Source organism: Homo sapiens, chromosome 8, assembly GCF_000001405.40.
Source record: "Homo sapiens chromosome 8, GRCh38.p14 Primary Assembly".
Taxonomy (NCBI): domain Eukaryota; kingdom Metazoa; phylum Chordata; class Mammalia; order Primates; family Hominidae; genus Homo; species Homo sapiens.
In genome coordinates this window covers 92,564,765-92,585,225 of record NC_000008.11, presented here as the reverse complement: position 1 = coordinate 92,585,225, position 20,461 = coordinate 92,564,765, and the positions used below count along the sequence as shown (strand labels likewise).

Below are 20,461 nucleotides of genomic sequence, written 5' to 3'. Positions count from 1 at the left end.
AATTTCACTTTTTTTGGAAAGCCCATCCAGATGCCACAGCCTAAGGTGCTATAAACTCCTAGAACATGCCAATCTTCTCCAGTGGTAAGATGCCACCCTTTGTCAATGCCTGGATTCTGTGCTCAAGGAGCAAAGTCCTGGATCTGTTTTGTTCACCTCTAATACTTCCAGTGCCACCACAGCACCAGATACAAATGAGGTACATATTAACTCTCAGCAACTGAATGGATTGTCATAGGGGATCTACTAATCCATGAGGGCCATGAAGCCCGGCCTTTCTCAGCTAATCTGAAGAGTGGGTTCCTGTTTGTTCCCTAATTTATCTATGTAGTTCAGTTTACTGACTTTCATTTTGTTTTTTAAAGATGCTGAGCCTCTGAATATATATAATTAGATTAAGCATAATCCTTGTTTTATTTCAAATTGCTTAATTGAAGGAATTCTGGCAGGCTTTTTTTCTAGCACCACATTGTTCTTTTAGGATGGCAAGTTCTCTCTGAACATTTTCCAAGTGTGTGCCCATTTAAATATTTACCTGGACCTGTCGTTTGTTTTTGAGAAACTTTTTTGAAAATTAATTCTGAGTGCAAATTATGGCTATGTAATCCATTTGGACAAAAGCAAGCTGGTTGCCAGGTTACCATTTTAAATGGGTTCATAAAATAGTGCTTGGTAATATTACTTTAATCCGGTGTTTACTGTACCTGGCAACTGTCCTTGTCGTGTGCTTCAAAAGCATTTAGATAGGATGTGGTTACTAATAACCAAGGTACCACCACCGCTGGGTAAATAGAATTAGAGTGAGACCAAGATATTTTGCTGCTCATAACATGCATTTAAATACATGGGAGTCAAATTTGGCAAACTGGATGAAGGTCCTTTTATGTAGATGAAAGCTTTTCTTGCCCGGGATATTTTATTTATCAGAATCATGTAAGGGCACTTAACATTTGAGGAAATGCTGTCATATTTGGTTCTGCTTCTTACAACTTTCAGAAAAGAGGACAAGACACACGGTGAGAAAATCAGCATGGCACCCGGCTCGGCGTGCAGGTGGATGGACAGCCGTGCAGCACTTCTGCAGCTGTGCCTCTCTGGCAAGCATCTAGGGCTCCTCAGCTGTGCTCAGAACCCAAAAATAGATACTTTCCCTTCACTTCCTTTCCTGACTCACCTCAGATATAATGAGACTTTCCGCTTACAAAAAGTACAGCTTTATTTTTATGCTCACAAAATCACCTGATAACATTAGGATGCCAAGGATTAAATGCAGACAGCATGACTTTTTTCTCCAAAGGACCCCACAAACATGGCCTGGGTACCTACCCTGTGCCACATTCTTTTCGCCTCACTATTCTCACAGTCTCCTTTTTAAAGAAAGAGCTACCCTTCCTGACTCCTTTTGAAAAGAGCTGAAGTGTCTGTATACAAAAGTTCTTGCATAGGTTTTGGTGTGATAGAGCAGAACAATTTTTAGTATTTTGCTTACAGCAGAGTCAGGCAAGGTGTTCACCAATGGTTGGCCTTTTCCTCCTGGGCACACAGCTGAGCTACATGTCTAGCCTCCCTTAGGAGCAGCTTGGGGATTGGACTGTGGCCAAGGTAATGTGGGTAAAGGGGTGTGCACCCTTTCCAGGCCTGGCCAATAAAACCTGCTCAACCCTCTACACTCTGCCTGCTGCCTGTAGGGGTTGTGTGTGAGGTCTCCAAGGCTTTAAATGGAAGGATCTCAAGTAGAGTGCCCTCCTGGCTACCACTGAACCGTGCTATGAGAAGAAATCAACTTGTATTTTATAAAGCTGCTGAGATTTGGGGTACTTTGTTGGAGGAGTTAACCCAACCCGACAACTGTGTGCCCCTTAATCCTTATGACACTCACAAACTCATGAAATGGCTACTGTGAAACAAAGCAATAGTCAGCAGTGAATCTAACATGCCACCTGAATGTGAGGGTGGAATAATCCAGAGTAGGTGCACCTCTTTAGCCTGACTTCATCCTTTTAATACAGTGATGGTGGGAACCAGAAGTCCATGTGACCTGTCCCCTGCTCTATTTGCCAGATGCAGCATGGACCTCCTCAAAATGCTCCTGCAAACTTTTGTATCCTTTATAAACCACATATATGTTGATAATTTTGAGTTCTCATACCAAAGAGGCAACTGTATTCATGTCCTAGTCTTCCATCCTTCTATACAAGAACATTTTCTTTAATGCTTAAAGCAGCTAGATTTGACCTCAGGTTCTCAGGATCATCACAGGCTTTTGGAATCACAAAATGTGTTCACAAAAATTGTGTCTCACAGGTCCTGTTCAGCTTATACCTCTTTGCTTAAGCTGAAAAATATGTCCTTGAAGAAAACAAAATCAAGAGTAGATTTGGCAATGATTCAGTTAATCTGCTCATGATAGCCAGAGAAACCAGGTAATTCAAGCTGAAAAAGAAAATTCACTTAGATAAGGCATTTTCAGTTAGGACCATGCAGGAACATCTGCCTGCTTTTAGGCTACTGCGGTTTTGAAGAAGTGTTTTATTTTCTTGGGAAATACAAGTATAGAAGAAGTATCCAAGTACTTGAAATAACCTTTCCTCTCCCCAGATAACCTTGAGCTATCAAGTCCCAGCAAGGAGGCAGGCATTTCCCCTCTGAAAAGGGATGGTTTTAGTTTCTGGCAGTTATGCTTAAGAAGAAGGGGGGAAACTCCTTATTTTCCTTCCCAGCTAAACTATAGCCCTAAAAATAACTCAGCCACAGTAGAGTTAGTATCCTTTAGCACCTGCATTGGTGAATCTCCCAAGGCGTCTAAATTCAATTTATAAAAATTGGCTCTAAAGTTGTCAAAGGGCTGTGGGATAGGGAAAATGGGAGATTAGAATCCAAAAGGGGCTGTGCAGGAAACAGTGGAGATTTAAACTGCCTTCTCTGTGCACAGCTGCTCTGTTACTAATGCTTTTGCCCGGGAACATCTGCCTTGGGCCTCACTACATACCCAGGGTGCAGGCCGAGGGTTCAGTAGTGCAGACCGTGAAGTGGGATTATCCTTACGTGTGTTCTTTAACAGTGGTTGGTTCCAAATGGAACTGTTGGTGATCCAGAAACAAAGCGGTCTCCTTTTCAGGAAGCTGTAATAAGGGATTAAGAAACCATAGAGGCATATGAACGTTTTCCATGCGACTTAGAACTTGACCAGACTCAGCCCTTAATCAAAGTTAATCAACCCATCTGAGGCAGATCAGAGAGGCAATCCAAACTGGGATGAATGTTAATGCCGTGGGGGGCATCAGGGGCCTGACTGGTAATAGACAAGAGAGTCTATTCCTCCAAATGTGAGAGATGCTCCACTGTGCGTGGCCATATGTCTGCTGCAATCTGTGGCCTTATGGATGGAGAACTCTCCCGCCCCCAAAGCACTATGTTGAACATGGAACGAAATTGGCAGTGCCAAAGGGTAAAAGACATTTGCTGTGTTTCAAAGACAATCAAAATATTTTTAGTAACAAAAGGGTTGGTAAATAAATACACCATGGGTGTGGACTGCTTTCTATGCTATTTGATCAAAAATGAAGAGAGAGAGTTTTTAATTTTTTTAAAAATTGGTGACTGTAATATTAAGGTTTTATTTTCTTTTAAAGTGCAAGAATACTGACATATCCAAATATTTACCATTCTTTCCGAAATTGCCAGTGGGGAGCCTCTATACACACCCCAATAAAATGGCCATTTTTCAAATAATGTTTGAAATTTTTCCTCACAGAGTGCCTTCAGAAACTGGCTTATTTTTATTAAACACTCAAGTGTGGGTTGCCATGCTCTATGTATGTAACATGGATTTTATTTTTTTCTAACTAGCCAAAAGTTTTAAACCGATGGGGCATAATTAAAGTTTGTAATCAAAGAGTTGGATTTGGGAGTAAAGGGACTTACTTAACTTTAAAAGTAACTAAATTTGGCAGGGGTTGGGAGGCACTAACTTACAAAGTAGCTCTAAAAACAGTGACCTATAGGAAATTCTTTACAAAATGGTAAAATGGTAGAATAGGTGGCTAGCTTCCAAAGATGGCTTAACAAGCAAATATTTATTTGGGTGTTTGCATAATGGCACGATTATTTAATAGGTCAGCTTGTCAGAGTTTAAAGCGGGCTTTTAACATGCACTTTCAGTAATGAAGGATAGGGTGAGCTTGACAGCCTCCTGCTGAGGACCACTAGCAAAGCAGAAAAAATATTTTTAAACAAATTACTTGAAGACATCGGAAGGGCAATAAGGCATGGAAAGATTACTGGGTCAAGATTGAAAAAGACAGATATTCAGAAAGATAAATGTTGCATTTGGGGCCACTTCTTCCTAGCGGTATCTGCCCATTTCTGAATAGGTGGCTAAGTAGCCAAGAAGATTGCAAACAATGCTCCCAATAGTCTTGTGGAGATTGGAGGACAAAAACGAAAATAGAGGCGCTGCTGGTAGTGCTGGTATAACACCAGTGCTTTGGCTTAAAATTTCAAAGGTCTGTAGGAGTAAAGACTATAGGAGAAGAATAAACCAGAAGTATACAGCATCTCAAAAGAAATGAAGCCCAGATTTAAATAATCTAAATCTTTGAAAATAGAGTGAGATAAGAGTGTATTGCTAGTGTGCAGAGCTGCCAATGAAAAGTCATCAAAAGTTATCTCTAGAGGAAGACAATGTCAGTATTGGACTAATCTTATCTCCATAATTTTTCATATACAATGTTCAGCACTCAATCAAAGTAATCAGATGCATAAGCAGACAAGAAAGCATAAGGAGGTAAACAGACTACAGAAACACACATTCAAAACGACAAATGAAGACTTTAGAATAGTTACGTTCAATATATTTAAGGAGAAAACACATATTATTGAGAAGTTCACCAGAGATCTTGAATTATAGAAAAAAATGAACTATACAGAAATTACCTCAGTGGAGGTAACAGCACATTAGACACAATTGAAGAACAAATAAGCAAACCAACAGATGGATCAGAAGAAACTATCCAAACTAATGGTGAGTAAAAAGAATGTAAATTAAAGAAGAGAGGGTAAAAACATAGAGGACACTTTAAGAAGGTCTAATAGCGATGAAACCAGAGCCCCAGAAATAATGATGTGAGAAAATGAGGTATAAGTGACCAATGATAAAATGATAATTGCTGAGAATTTTCCACAACTGAAAAAAGCCATCAAGACACATATTCAAGAAGTATCATGAACCCCAAGAAAGATTTTTTAAAAAATTGTATCTAAATAAACTGCTAAAATCCAACAGGGAAAAAAAGAATATCTTAAAACCAGAAAGGACATGAAGAAAATATAAAAGGAAAAATAATTAGACTGACAACTATCTTCTGCAAAGAAAAAATAGAAACCAGAAGAAAAGACAGTAACATTTTTAAATACAAGAAAGCGAATAACTGTCAACTTAGAATTTAATACTCAGGGACAATATCCTTCAAGAATGAAAGTTAGGCTGGGTGCGGTGGCTCACGCCTCTAATCCCAGCACTTTGGGAGGCAGAGGCGGGTGGATTGCTTGAGGTCAGGAGATCAAGACCAGCCTCATCAACATGGTGAAACCCCGTCTGTACTAAAAATACAAAATTTAGCTGGGCATGGTGGCAGGTGCCTGCAATCCCAGCTACTCTGAAGGCTGAGGCAGGAGAAGCACTTGAACTGGGGAGGCAGAAGTTGTAGTGAGCTGAGATAGTGCTACTGCACTCCTATCCAGCCAGTGCAAGAGAGTGAGACTCCATCGAAAAAAAGAAAGAAAGAAAGAAAGAAAGAAAGAAAGAAAGAAAGAAAGAAAGAAAGAAAGAAAGAGAACAAGAAAGGAAGGAAGGAAGGAAGGAAGGAAGAAAGAAAGAAAGAAAGAAAGAAAAAGAAAGAAAGGAAGGAAGGAAGGAAGGAAAGGAAAAAAATTTTAAAATGAAACAAATTGAGAAAATTCATCACTAGCAGACCTAAACTAAAAGAAACACCAAAAGATATTTTTTAGGCAGAAGGAAAGATATCCCAGATGGAAAGTTGTAGATTCAAGAGGAATTAAACAAAAACACCACCATCAACAACATAAAATAAACATGTGGGGAAATCTAAATTAATGCTAAATTTAATAAACAATATTAATAACATCTTCTAGAAGTTACAATATACAAAGAATTTATATACACGAGAAGTCAATGGTGTTCAAGTGTTCCAGGGTCCTTAGGTCAAAGGTAAAATTAGTAATTTATATAATGATTTGAAGAAATTTAGGAGTATACATGTGGCAATCTCTAGAATAAACAGAAAAGGAATAGGAAAAGCTAATAGGGTTAGAGTATAATTGAAAAATTAAAAAAATAGCGAATAATTCCAAAAGAAAATGGGGAAGAAAAGAAAAAGTACATAGAAAATGCAGGACATAAAAAGCAGATGATCAACTTAAACCAAAATATAGTAGGGATTACATTAGTGTAAATGGGATAAGCCATATTGTAAAGGAAATTCTAGCTAGTTAAATGTGCCAAGAAAATAAATAAACCCCATTTGACCCAGCCATCCCATTACTGGGTATATACCCAAAGGACTATAAATCATGCTGCTATAAAGACACATGCACACGTATGTTTATTGTGGCATTATTCACAATAGCAAAGACTTGGAACCAACCCAAATGTCCAACAATGATAGACTGGATTAAGAAAATGTGGCACATATACACCATGGAATACTATGCAGCCATAAAAAATGATGAGTTCATGTCCTTTGTAGGGACATGGATGAAATTGGAAATCATCATTCTCAGTAAACTATCACAAGAACAAAAAACCAAACACCGCATATTCTCACTCATAGGTGGGAATTGAACAATGAGATCACATGGACACAGGAAGGGGAATATCACACTCTGGGGACTGTTGTGGGATGGGGGCAGCGGGGGAGGGATAGCATCGGGAGATATACCTAATGCTAGATGACGAGTTAGTGGGTGCAGCGCACCAGCATGGCACATGTATACATATGTAACTAACCTGCACAATGTGCATATGTACCCTAAAACTTAAAGTATAATAAAAAAAGAAAATAAATAAACAATATGTTTCATAAAGAAAGAAATAAACCTATCATTATTAATAGATACTATAATTGCATATGTCAAAAATCCAAATAATCTATAGATAAATTATGGGAATAATAGGTCAGCTTAGTTGCTAAGTACAAGAACAGTTTTAAATCAGTTGTATTTTTGCATACTAGCAAAAATCATTTGAAATACAAAATTTAAGAAAAATAAACTGTTTAAAATATCATCAAAAATAGCCATTAGCCCTAAATAATTCTAATAAGAAATGTGTAAGAGCTCTATACAGAAAATATAAAGTTCCACAAATCAATAGTAATAATATAAAACCCATAAAATACAATAGAAAAATTGGCAAGAGGTTTAAACATTCTTTAAAAGGATATCAAAATGACTAATAAAATATACAAATGTGTTCATTCTCATTAGCTATCAATGCAGTACAAATTGAAAACACAATGATATGCCACTATACACATTGGAATAGCTAAAAATAAAAAGACCAAATAACTGTTGAAAATATTGAGTTCATGAGAATGTCATGCAATTGAATCTCTTTTTACTGCTGTACAGAGTATGTATTGTTATAACCATTCTGAAAAATTGTTTGTCATTGTCTTTTAAAATTAAATATGCATGTATCATAGCATCCAGCAATTCTGCTCCTGGGTATACACCCAGAGAAAGGCATGCATGTGGGCCACAAAGAAACATGTATAAAATGATTCATAGCAAAATTATTAAGAGCAAACCCAAAATGAAGCCGATCCAAGTGCTTATGAACAATAAAACTGAAATTTATGTATGTACATATATACATACATATGTGTATATGTGTATATATATTTACATTTATCTATATAACAATGAAAAGAAATGAATTCTATATAACAATGAAAAGGAATGAAACAGGAGTATACATAATAAAATGGATTAACCTTATAAACAGTATTGAAAGAAGTAAGATTCAAAATATGCATTCAAACATTTAATTTGTGTAGATTTTGTAAACAGACGGAACTAAGCTGTAGTCTTAGAACTCTATCATGGGTTATGTCTGAGACATCGTATTGTGCTTGGGAAGGCATGTAAGGGGACTTCTGGGAACTGCCAAGATTCTATTTCTTGCCTTATAGTAACTTGGGTGTTTGCTTTGTGATAATTAATTGTATGAAACCTTTATAGATTTGCACACTTTTCTATATTTGTGTTTTCCTGCTCACTAACTAGAGATTTAAAAAAATAAAACATTAATAAAGGGCACTTAGGTGACCTTTCTGAATATGTTTTCTCAACTAGAAAATAGTGGTTATAGCATTGGGTTTTCAGAGCTTTTCAGTATTTAATGAGGTTACAAATATAAAGTGCATAACAGAGCAGTTGGTACCTAGGACACAATAAATATATGTGTATGGCTGGACATGCAGTATGGCTGGATGTACTTGATACACATCGTTTGAGGACAATGGTCTTTTCAGCGCTGCTTTAGGCAAAGCTGTTTTGTCTCATTGCGTGTGATTGTAGCATATAATTAAATGGATTTATACCACTAATATTTTATTAATTAAGAGAAATGTCCTCTCTAGGACTTTTACTTAAGTATCTTATAGCAAAAAAGGATATAGGAGGGTTATAGCTAACATTCTGTTTTTGTAAATGATAAACTGTCTCAGATCCCAATCTTACTTTGTGTTTGTTGTATGAACTTGGGCAGGGTGATGTTCTTAATCTTCAGTTTCTGTATCTGCAAAATGAGACTAATAAGAGAACTTAAACCACATAGGGTTACTGTAAGCATTAAATGACATAGAAAGTGCTTACCACAGTGCCTTAAGCCCTCAATATGTAATTTTAGCTTAAAAAATACTAATTGCAAAAAATTTTGTTTTGTAATTATAAGCTAAGAGAAAGAGTGCTATATTTACCTTCTAAAATGAAACTATCATTATCATTTTTAAAGTAAAGATTCTAGAAATCTTAGCCTATAAACACAGAATTTAAAAATAATTTTATTAACACCTTTTGCAAATAAATTATGCAATTTATATTAGAAAAAAATATACTAAAATAATAAAAAATCTCACTGCCTCTGGGGACAATATTATAGCTAGGTATTACCCTATAAATTTAGCCAATCAGTCTATTTTCAGGATATCAGGTAATTTTTAACTTATTAATTCAACAAACATTTAGCCAGTGTTAATCTCTCTCAGGTGCTTCTCTGAGCACAAAGATAAATAAGATATTGTCCATGACTGAGCAACTCACATTCAATGTAAGAAAAATAGCAAGATACATTCAGTCGCTCACTCAAAATTTAGGGAGCACTGCTAGATGATGGACAGTCAATGACGAATGGTCTTTATGGCCTCTGCTCTTGAAGAGCACACAATCCAGAAAGCATGATAAATTCCAATAATATGTTCTAAGTTTTATGATAAAGGACAGAAAAAGAAACAGCTGACTCTCCCTCGGCAAAGCAGTGGTCAAGAGGAGGTGACAGTTGAGCTGTGTTCTGAAGGATGGGGAGAAGTAACACCAGGTAAAAAGGCAGACGTATATATCAGCAGGTTTGGGGAACTGCAAACAGTTCAATGAGACTAGAACCAAGATGGATGGAGACAATGAAGGAAGAAGGGGCTGAAAAGAAAAGAGGGAGCCAGATGGCAAATGACCTTTTACTACCATGCTAAATGCATTAGACTTTATCCTTTGCCTGTGTATGGTTATTAGCTAGTTTTAAGTAGAGTAGTGACTTGTACATGTTTACATTTTAGAAATAGAACTCTGTTGGCAGTGTGGAGGAGGGTCAAAAAAGCAGGCTAGCCTAAAGACCATGTACAGGACAGAGTGGAAGGTGGAATATGTAGGAGACATTTCAAATACAGAGCTAAAGATGATAATGACTGCATAGGTGTGACTAGGAAAAAGGCTGGAATTTTAGTGGTGTCCTTCCAGCTATAGGATATGCAAGAGAAATGGGAGAAAGTTCAAGAGTTTAGTTTCTGGTTATCACAGTTTTAGGTGCTCAGGAATAAACAGAAGGTGTCCTTGAGATCAAGGATCACATTTTAATCTCTATAGATTATTGATATAAATCTATAACCTTTTTCCCCCATCTGATAAATGACAGTAAGAATGTCTTCAGTTGTAAATTAAATGTGTTATATTAATGATTTTGCTTTTCTAATGAAAGCCTGACAAAGCCTTTAGGGCAAGAATAAATTCTGCTGCCCCTCTAAAAATGTACCATTAGATGTCTCCAAATATTAATCACTCCGAATATCAAAAGCTACTTTTCTTCCCATTTCCTCTTCCAAATGTCCCTAAATCTACCCACTCACACTCTTACCACTAACCCCAAAAGGCTTCCGCAAAAAGGGTTTTAGGTGGTATCTAAATATAATAAAGCCTTTAATTTTGACATTTTAAAGAGCAAAGAGACTTGAAGCTATTTGCCTACGTTGGTCTTCTCTTCCTCCTGGCATGCAATTTTTAGTAAAAGATAGAGTCTTATTTTAAATTTCATTATCCTAGTATGCAGTTATTTTTTTCTTGAATAGTCACTTTGTATACATTTCCCTGATGATGCCATCAGCTCATTGAGGGTATCTCTTAAGTGTCTTTGGACTTTCTAAGGCCCTCAGTGTAGCACTTTGCACACAGTCCATGCCAGTTATAGTTATTTGATATGTTATTATAACTAATAAAATGATACCATTAACTACTTTTAACAACTCAAAGGTTAAACTTAAGCTACAAATCTTGGATTTTATAAATAAGGTGTTTGAGTTTTCAAAATGCTGCTAATTTTCCTGGAAGACACATATCATGCCCTCACAAAATCAGCTTTTCAAATTCCTTGTTGATGCATCCTCTGAATTATAAAAAGAAAATAGTAAGTTTGATTCATAAAAGGGGGAGAAAAGAGTAACTCATGCTTTGATACTCAGGGTATTAATACTATTTTTTCCCCTGTCGTTGAACCCTATGATTTGCCAAAGGAAAGAATGAAAGCCATAAATACCACAGTGACCTCATTCATGTCTTCTTAGCCAAGTGCTTGTCATATTCATCAGGTGGCCAGCCAGAACATTTATAAAGGCCACAAGGCCTTTAAAATGAATTGGAAACAGGTTTGTTTCAGTGAAATGTGGGGCATATATGCTACTGCACATTGCTATTGTCAAGGGGCATTCCACAGTCCCTTCTATTTTACAAAGTATAATTGAAGCATACCACCAAGTTAAAAAGGGACAGAGGTGATTTTTAGAATCAACCAAATCTGTTCCCTAAATATTAAGGGTTCATAAAACCTACGGCAGTTCCTGTATACATAAAACTTTGTTTCTGTGGAGGAGACCTGGTTTTCTCCCCTGAAGGGATTAATTTCCTTATAGAAGATCAGTGGACTATGCAGAGCTACTCATCAGATACTTACGGCATCTAACAATGAGACATATATAGGGGTGAGATGTGCCTACCCATTGGGAAAGGAAGCTCAAAAAGGTTAAAAAAGAGATAGGATTTTAGGTGTCTCTAGGTAAAATAACACAAAAGTGACACTAACTTCATTCCAACTGAGTACTAAAAATGAGCTATTTCATACCAAGAGAGCTCCCTCAACAGTAACTGAAGTAAGATTTCATGAAGTCTGTCTTTATGTGGACCAACAGCTTGATTCTTTCATTGTTTGTTGATTACAGTAACATTTGTAGTCCTAGAATATTCAGAGACAGTTAATTCTAGTGATTCATATTTTATTTTATTCGACCTTTAAAGGATTTTTTAAAGTGCCAGTCATCCACTAAATCCATAAAGCTGCCACGTCAATTGGTCCAATTCTTTGGTTGCTGTTAAGTGTTTATTGAATAAACCACAATATATCAAACACAATATAGATGAAGTCCACTCTAAGTTTACAAGCTAAATTGGCTTAAGCATTAGTCATAAAAAAGGTCCTAAACAAGCATATATTGATCAAATTTTAGTTGGTTTATGGGTGATGGACTTGAAGTGAATACCGTGAGGGAAAACAATGGCTAAAAGGAGTTTGTGGGGAGTGAAACTCTTCATTTGACTCCACTGTTCTCAGATTTCACCTGAAAGGTGTGGCCTGATGAAAAGCCTTGAATGTCAGAACGTTACTGGGGCTTTGCAGACAGGAGATAAAGCAATTTAGGTCAAGAGAAAGACATCCAAAACAAATGTTCTAAAACCACATCTGAAGTAGATTTCTCAATGAAAATAGAAAATTTACTTAAAAAACTGGGCAAGACTGGCAATTATCTGGTGACGCTGGTCAATACTAATTATGTGAGCAAATCTGAAACTGAGCCAAGGCAGCTTTTCTCCACTGTTTTGATTGTTTACATGTCATATAATTGAATTAAGCATAAATTTGCACTCATGCTTCTGAGGGTGTGGCTATGAGTTCAACCAAGTCACAGACACAAAAACAGTGTCATGTCTAGTAGTTCTGCTTTGAGGACCTGGAAACCAGTTTATGAAGTTTGGTTGCCCTGGGGAATAGAAGGTTCGTATGGGTGATTTATTCCTCTAGCATAGACATGGAACTTTCTATGGATATCAGACTCAAGAGTTCTATTATTGTTTCCTGGCACTTATCTGTATATAAATTTCCTCAAACATTTCTTTTCTGGAACAACAAAAATAACAAAATTAAGGGTTCTGGCTCAGAAAAAGCTGTGGTTTTACTGTATTTTAAAAGATTATTTTAGAAATAATGATATTACTGTGTAATTACTGTATTTACATTGACGTATGTCATATACAAAATCCTATTCCTAAAGCCCTGGACTGTTTATAAAACACTTTCGCATTTATTATCTCAGTAGATTCTTATATTTACCCTTTGAAGTAGCTATTACTGTCTCTATTTAACAGATATGGAAAATAAAGCCCAGGAGATTAAGTGGCCTACCCAGCTTTATACAGCTTGCAGCAGCAGAACTTAAATCCCAACGTCCCTACTCCCAGCGTTTTTTTTTTTAATTGCATTAGAATATCTACTAGAATCTAGTGAACAAACATGCTGTGGAATATTATTTCTGGAACACTGGAGATCAACTCATAAAATGCTAAAGCAGCAATCTTAGAAACAGGTATAAACAATGATGGCTCTAGCAGGCTTTTTAATGAATAGAACCTGTCATAAGATGCAGAAAGAGTCAGCTCCACCTTTGAGGCCAGCTTGTCCTCTTCCTTCACTGATGAGGTATTGGAGAGGAAATGGATGAAGTAGCCCGAACTCTGCACAGATGACTGAAACCTGGCCGTCGTCTTTGCACACGTACCAAACCCACTCACGTACTGAGAATTCTTCTCAGAAGTGATGGTAGGAAATTAAGAGAAACATAACCTACAAGGTAAAAAGGAACTTTTCCTTTGTAATGACAGTGGTTTACCAGGATGAAAGCCAGAGTGAGTCAGATTTATCTTTAAAAGGCCATGGCAATGGCTTGACTGGGAAAGCAAATGCTCCTCAGGTCAGCACCATTCCACTGAGACCCTCTATCCTATTGAGCTACAGATGATAAACTATGATAGCTTTGGAGAATTGTGGTAGAAGGAGAGGAAGCAAAAGGAATTTGTTTACACAAACTTGCTCCCAGATGTCCTAAATTATAAATAAATAATAATAGTCATCTAACCTGTTCCACAAAAGAATTTGTAAACAAACACATTTGCAGGATAGCTCTTTAAATGAGAGACTTACGGGGAAAAACAGACACTAAATCTTAAGTGGTGAGTACTGACTTTACAGCTCTGCTTCCAGCGTATTCGATGCTCCCTACCAAAGAGCAGGTTCACACAGGATGAACCAATTGGTGTGAACCAATTGGTGTGAACCAATTGGTTCACACAGGATGAACCAATAAGTCGCTAATTTTGTTCAACCTCAGAATCCTGTGAACTTCTTAGAAGATATATTCAATCTTCATTTGAAGATTTCAAATTTGGCTACTCTTTAAAATTTATTTGTAACTTTATTTGTAAAATTTATCTATAATTTACTTACAAAATTTATTCGTAATGATACTCATGGTGCTTTTGCAGATTTGTGCAGAGTGGTGAAAAACTGGACTCAACCTTTGTGCCCCTTCCCAGCTGAAGCAGAGCAAGACAAAGCTCTGCCCTCTTGCTTCAGTTCTCATACTGTGTACCACTGTCCTCTTCACAGTCTATTTTGTGCCACTTTTTTTTTTTGTAATTTTGTGTTTGTGGTGGGGGTTTTACAGTTTAAAATGGCCCTCATGTATAGTGCTGAAGTATTGTCTATTGTTTTTAAGCGCAAGAAGGTTGCGACAATGTGCCTCACGGAGAAAATGTGTGTGTTAGATAAGCTTCGTTCAGGCATGAGTTAATGAATCAACAATAGATATTAAATAAGGGTTATTTAAACAGAAAGACACATAAAACAAGGTTACGTATTCATGGGTTGATGAAATCTAACCTATTTCCCCTAGAAGCAATGGTTCCGTATTTGCCAATTCAGTGTTGCCAGTGACTTTATAAAACACATATCTACAGCAAATAATAAAATTCGACTATAGTTTTGTTTCTAGTATTTAGAATTATCAATTATATAAAAGGCAAAACAATAATTTATATTACTATTCAGAACTACAGAAGTTGTAGCTACAAACCCCAAATTTTGAATGTAGTGAGTTTTGAAAACGGTGTATTTTAAATGTATGCAAACATAGGTAGATACATGTATATATTTTCAGGCATATTTTGTTTCTTTTAATGAACACTTAACTGTTTCAAAACTAATTCAAGTGAATAAAACATTTCACAATGTTGTGAAAGGGCAATGCTATCAAATAAAATGAAGCCCCAATAAATGTGTCCAAGCTATGACTTTAAAAGGAATCTGTATTTTAACAGAATTGGTATATTGAAATACAACCCCACATGAGTATTTTTTGATATGCATTAATTTTATTGCTGAATAATAGTAATCGTTTGTATTTGCATGCTGATTGTGATTTTAAGGCCTATTCATGTGCATTAAGTCACTTTGATCCTCTGAAATGTGGGTGGACATTTGGGTTTCATCACCACAATTTAGCGATGGAAAGAGCAAATTTTGACTGGTAAAGTGACTTACCCATAGTAACATGTACATGTCATTGTTGGGCTTAAAATTCAGAAGCTGTAGATAACGTTATATATTTTGCCTTGTGTTGTCATGCCAAGGTATGTTTCTAACCTTGAGAATTTTTTACCACAACTTTTTTTTCTATTGGTAAAACTAAATCCAAAGACCATTGAAACTATCCTAAATGGATGGTTGTTAAATGTTTCCAATTTTAAATTTCACATATTTGAAACACTGATTTTTAAACTATAATTTCCCTTTACATTTGCTTCTTAGAAATGCATCATATCATGTCTGTGACACAAGAAGTATTTACTGAGATGCAAGTTGAATTTGTTAACTTGTGTGTTATGATTCTAGGCTAAAATTTCCTCTCTTAGCAAATTCAGAATTGAGCAGTGAATGTTTAATTTGGTGACACATGTAAGTCTGGTTTATATTCTTACACCAAAGAATATTCAGTTTTATGCTGAACAGAAAGGAAACTCCAAGATATGAAAAATGCATGCACCTACCGTAAAAAATGGTCTTCAAAATCTTGCTATTATGTCATCCTTGAACTGATATTTTTAATGTGACTATGTTTGGTAACCATAATATTGAAGAAATTTGGAAAAAAGACTTTCTTTTTGCAGGGGATGTGGGAGCACAAGTTTACTTGCACCTGGCAAATGATCTTATTTTACATGGGTTCAACAGTCTGTGAGGGGGCAGATGTCATGACAACAAAAGAAGGACAAATTAGACTTAGTTTAAAAAGGAACATGTGAGAATAAATACAACACATGATTATTAGCCTATAAAAGTGCTATAAGGAATAAAAACTTGACATAAAGGAGAAAGCAGGGTGGTGGTATATAACATAGAAACAGGGAAGGATGACCGAGTGGCAAGATTTTGTCCAGTGAAAAAGTTATCTGCCGAAATTTCAACATCTCATGAAATTCTTTACAGGATTGAATTCTCACCCACTGTCTTCACCCAACCCAGCAGAGAAGAAGGCTTGTGACTGTGTAAGGTAAATATGCTCATTCAGAAGTTAAGAATTTTGAGGTTTCTCAAGAGGTTGACTAGGTCAGAGAGTCACTTAGATTCCTAAGACACAATGTTTATTCCCACAACATTTCTAATGTAAACATCAGATTGAGCTCAATGGGCAAAGCTTTTCTTTACTATACCTATGTTGATATAGTAATTGTAGAAGTTTCCATCAGAAGGTTGAAGAGATAGAGTGATATATATAACTTGCTGCAAATTTGCTGGAACACGAAAGAACTTTGCTTCATGAGTATTTTAAAGGGATTGGGGTTAGAGATGGCCCTACTGAAAAACTCAGCATGGTGCAAAAGGGTAACCAAGTGAAGTGTGCAATTAGAATGCTTGTAGAGACATTCTGCTATGTTGTTGTTCTGTAATTATAATTGTATTGTAATTATTACTGATTTGTTCAGTGTTGTTTTGAGTCTTTTAGCTCTTCAAGTATTCTGCCAAACATTTAAGTATTAAAAGTGTGACTCAAACACACTAAGGTTATAAACAACTTAGATTAGTTGCACGTGAAGCCAATATTTTCAAAGAACATTCAGTCATTTGAATTAAAGAGAGAACATGAAGGAAAGTATGGACTATCTTCAACCTTTAAAAGAAAAGTAGAAATGCAGCACTTTCAATAACCCAATAATTTAGTTTTTCTTAATTAAAATAAAATAGGCATATCGATAAGACACATAGAACTTTGCTTTAAACACTCCTTTTGCAATTAATGATTAGCCTTCTAATGCCTCAGGTGTGAATTATATTAATGTTGTGGATTAAAAACAGTATGGGGCACGTTTGGGAAACATAGTTGATTTTTCTCCCCAGGACAGATATTTTTCATTTTATAAGTATGTAGCTTTGCCCAGTAGACAAATTCCTAGAAAATTATTTGGAAAAAAAAAGTTTTTATAAATAAAAGCAGTTTCGTAAACATTAAAAATGTTATGCTGTATGTAAAATTACAGTAAATTCTAATTACCTTTTTGGTCGAGTTAAATTTTCAGACAATGCATTATGTAAAGCGAAGTGGGTCTCTATGCAGAACTCTTGGTGAAGGGGTTAATTCTGTTTTCTCAAGTGCCTAATTTATTAGAGAGTTACCTTAGGCACTGCAAGCTTCTGGCTCAACATGTACATATTTTTCAAGTACAAATTAAGGACTGAGAATGAGGCCAAGAACACACCGTTGTGTGCAGCAATAGGATGGACTCACCAACAGAGAAAGGCATAAATATTGCCTCAGATTTTAATAAGGATGAAACTCCATAAACATTAACAGTTCTTTCTTCAATGTCCTGAAAACCTAAGTCGTTACACTTGATCCCTGCTTAATATTCTGCATGTGTGAACCAATTTGGGTTGCGGTTGCATTAATCAGGTAGGGGATTAAAATAAGACTCCTCTTTTATTTGTAAGATGTTTTTAAATAAAATCTGTTTTATATGACTTGTCTTGGAATTTGTGCCAGGATGTGTATCTGCATACCCATTTCTGTCTACCCCATCTGATCTTAGATGGAAGACTAAATGGTAATTTTGCACACCATCAACGAATCATGTTGATTGCCCACCTTTCTTTTGCTCTATCTCTATTTTTTTAAAAATCAGGGTTAACTCTGGTCAACTGAGGAAAAAACTGAACAAATCTTTTGTAATTGCTTTGTTTTTTCATGAATTCTCAAAAGTAGCCCAAATAAGTTAAAAGGTATTGGGGGTGTTGAGGGGGCATAGAGTATTACATTGGAAGCTTTAGTGAGAGAAAAAAACAATGGCACTGATTATTACATCCAGTTTCTACTACTTCTTTTACTATTTATCTGATGTCACATTATGTGTATATAAATGATTCATGTTTCCTTAAATCAGAGATAATTAGTTCAATGACTGCAAGACTATCTGTCAGAAGCAGAGTTCACAGGCACCTATGGTTGTCTTGCAAGTGTAGAGAGATACCTGTGCATCAATGACTGGATGTAGAATATATTAAAGTGCATAAAACTTGGATGGAAAGGTTTCATTTGGACAATAGAAATGCCATTTTCATGTATTTGCTAATGTAGATATGCAAGGTGAAATAAAAGCCAAACCTCTGTTGGATAGTGTCCATATCTACCCTGAGGCAAAGAGAATCTCACTTTGGGTAATGGAACTCTAATATCTGTTTAACCATATTTAAAGGAACAATACAAGCAGCCGAAGGAGCTGCCCAGGACAGACTAATTTTCAGGGGAGAGAAAGACAAGGAAGACTTAACCCTGCCTCTTGCTCTGTGCATTACAAAGGCATCCGGGCTCCAAGTGATAAGTTTGACTTTTCTCTTAAGCACTGTCTAATTTTTATAAAAGCTCTTAAAAATGCCAACATGCAAATTGTACATAAAATATTTAAAACATGAGCACTTCCTTTGAAAAGGTGAATTAATGAATTCATCAATCAAAACTCTGAAGTTCTGAAAACCTCTAATTTACTCTTGCTGTAATTTAGTGAGAGAAAAGTAGCCTTCTGCTGGATAGCTCCACAGAAATGTAATTAACCTTTGCTTTTGATGGAACAGGTGGGACAATTGTTAGAGTAGGATGATAAATAACACACACACACACACACACACACATACACACACAAGCATACAATTGTATAGGATTCTTACGCCCCACATTTTTGTGAGGACCAAAGTTTGAAAATACTGTAAAAAACAAATTACAAATATAAGCTGTTGCAATAGTTGTTTATAGACAGACAGATACGTAGAGGCAGGCAAACACAGAACAAAATGTTAACAAAATATAAAATTATTTCTGTTATAGAAATTGAGATATTTTCCCCTACTGAATTTTCTAATGATTTTTTTCAATTGACATGTATTACTATGAAATAAAACAAAATGAAATACTGACATTCCCATATTCTACTGGCAGGTGCCCATAGCTGATGGCCACAAGCCATCTCAGCAGCAGCATATTTTCAAGCAGAAGTTGTAGCACAATCTAAAGTGCTTTCATGGGGACGATGGGTCAGAATATTTGGCAGTAAGACGCACATAACAGAGATTTGATTCAGTTCAAGACATCCAAGAAGATAATTCTCTTCTCATAAGGTTGAAGTGTGTAAATTAAAACAAGATGCTGCTAGCTTTCTCCTTCCTCCCATCTCTTGTCTCCTGCTGATTCAGGACAGAGTTGGTTTGTCTTCCTCACTAATTCTCACCAGAGCCCCAATTCTTTCTCTCCTTTGTGGAATGAACTCAGAGTCCATTTATATTGGATTCTAGACTATGTTTAAGCCTTGGCAAGAGCTTAGGAGGAGGGCAAAGGCATTTTATAGCACGTGGAACCTTTGATACAATACAGAGGAGAAAGATTTACTCTTCCAATTTTTACAAGTTATTGCTCCTTTAATTACTTTTACTTCCACAGGTGAAAATGGATATACCATTTCTGGGAAGAGAAAAGAAGCCAATTAAAAGTGGGGCATGTCATTACACTGACCAGAAATGAACGTACCTTTTTAGAAATAAAGAATCTGTATATTCCTGTGGCTCTGATTTATTCCTAAGTTTCTTGTCTCACTCATTAAGGACACTTCTTCAGCCACTAGTGTTTGTGTATATATATTGGTGTGCATGGCCATGTGTATCCCAGGATATAAATATAAAGAATTTAATATTCTTTTTCACTACAAATGTAGTTTATATTTCAATATAAAACCTAATTTGACTAAGAAGCCAGGATTTATGCATTATCTAATTTCTCTTGCTATAGTAGAAATAACTAAATTCAGGTTGTAGTTTTAATATGTTCCTCCTTCTTACAATACCTTTCTTCAAATGATTGTGTGTCAATAAAAGTACATGTACATTGGAATAAATGGAAATACTGTAATAAATTATAGCTTCTAAATTCTCTTTAAAAAAAACAAAGTACCAAAATAAGCCAAAGAAATATCATCTTTTTAAAGTATTGGACTATGTTAAAAAGACTCTATCATCTATCTATCATCTATCTATCTACCTGATATAGATACATAAGCTATATGTATTTGTATAAATACAAATATAGATAGAGTCAGGGCTGGTCATGTGTGTGAGTGTGTGTATGCATATATATGAACCTATATAATAAATTAACTATTAGAGAGGTCCTAGAACCATTTCAATTTCTCTCCCATCCCACAATACTTTTGTTTCTTCTTTTTTTGTTGTTTTGAGAGCATATTTTTAGTG

At 35.9% G+C, this 20,461-nt stretch overlaps 1 long non-coding RNA gene across 1 annotated transcript in view; it reads left to right on the top strand.

Moving 5' to 3' along the window:
• LOC102724710 (uncharacterized) overlaps positions 1-19,783 on the top strand; it is a 90,052-nt gene extending 70,269 nt beyond the window's left edge. Inside the window, exons 4-5 of the long non-coding RNA NR_125827.1 lie at positions 16,160-16,223; positions 19,656-19,783. This is a non-coding gene — a long non-coding RNA (uncharacterized LOC102724710). The remainder of the gene's footprint in view (positions 1-16,159; positions 16,224-19,655) is intronic.
• Positions 19,784-20,461: the final 678 nt, after the last annotated feature.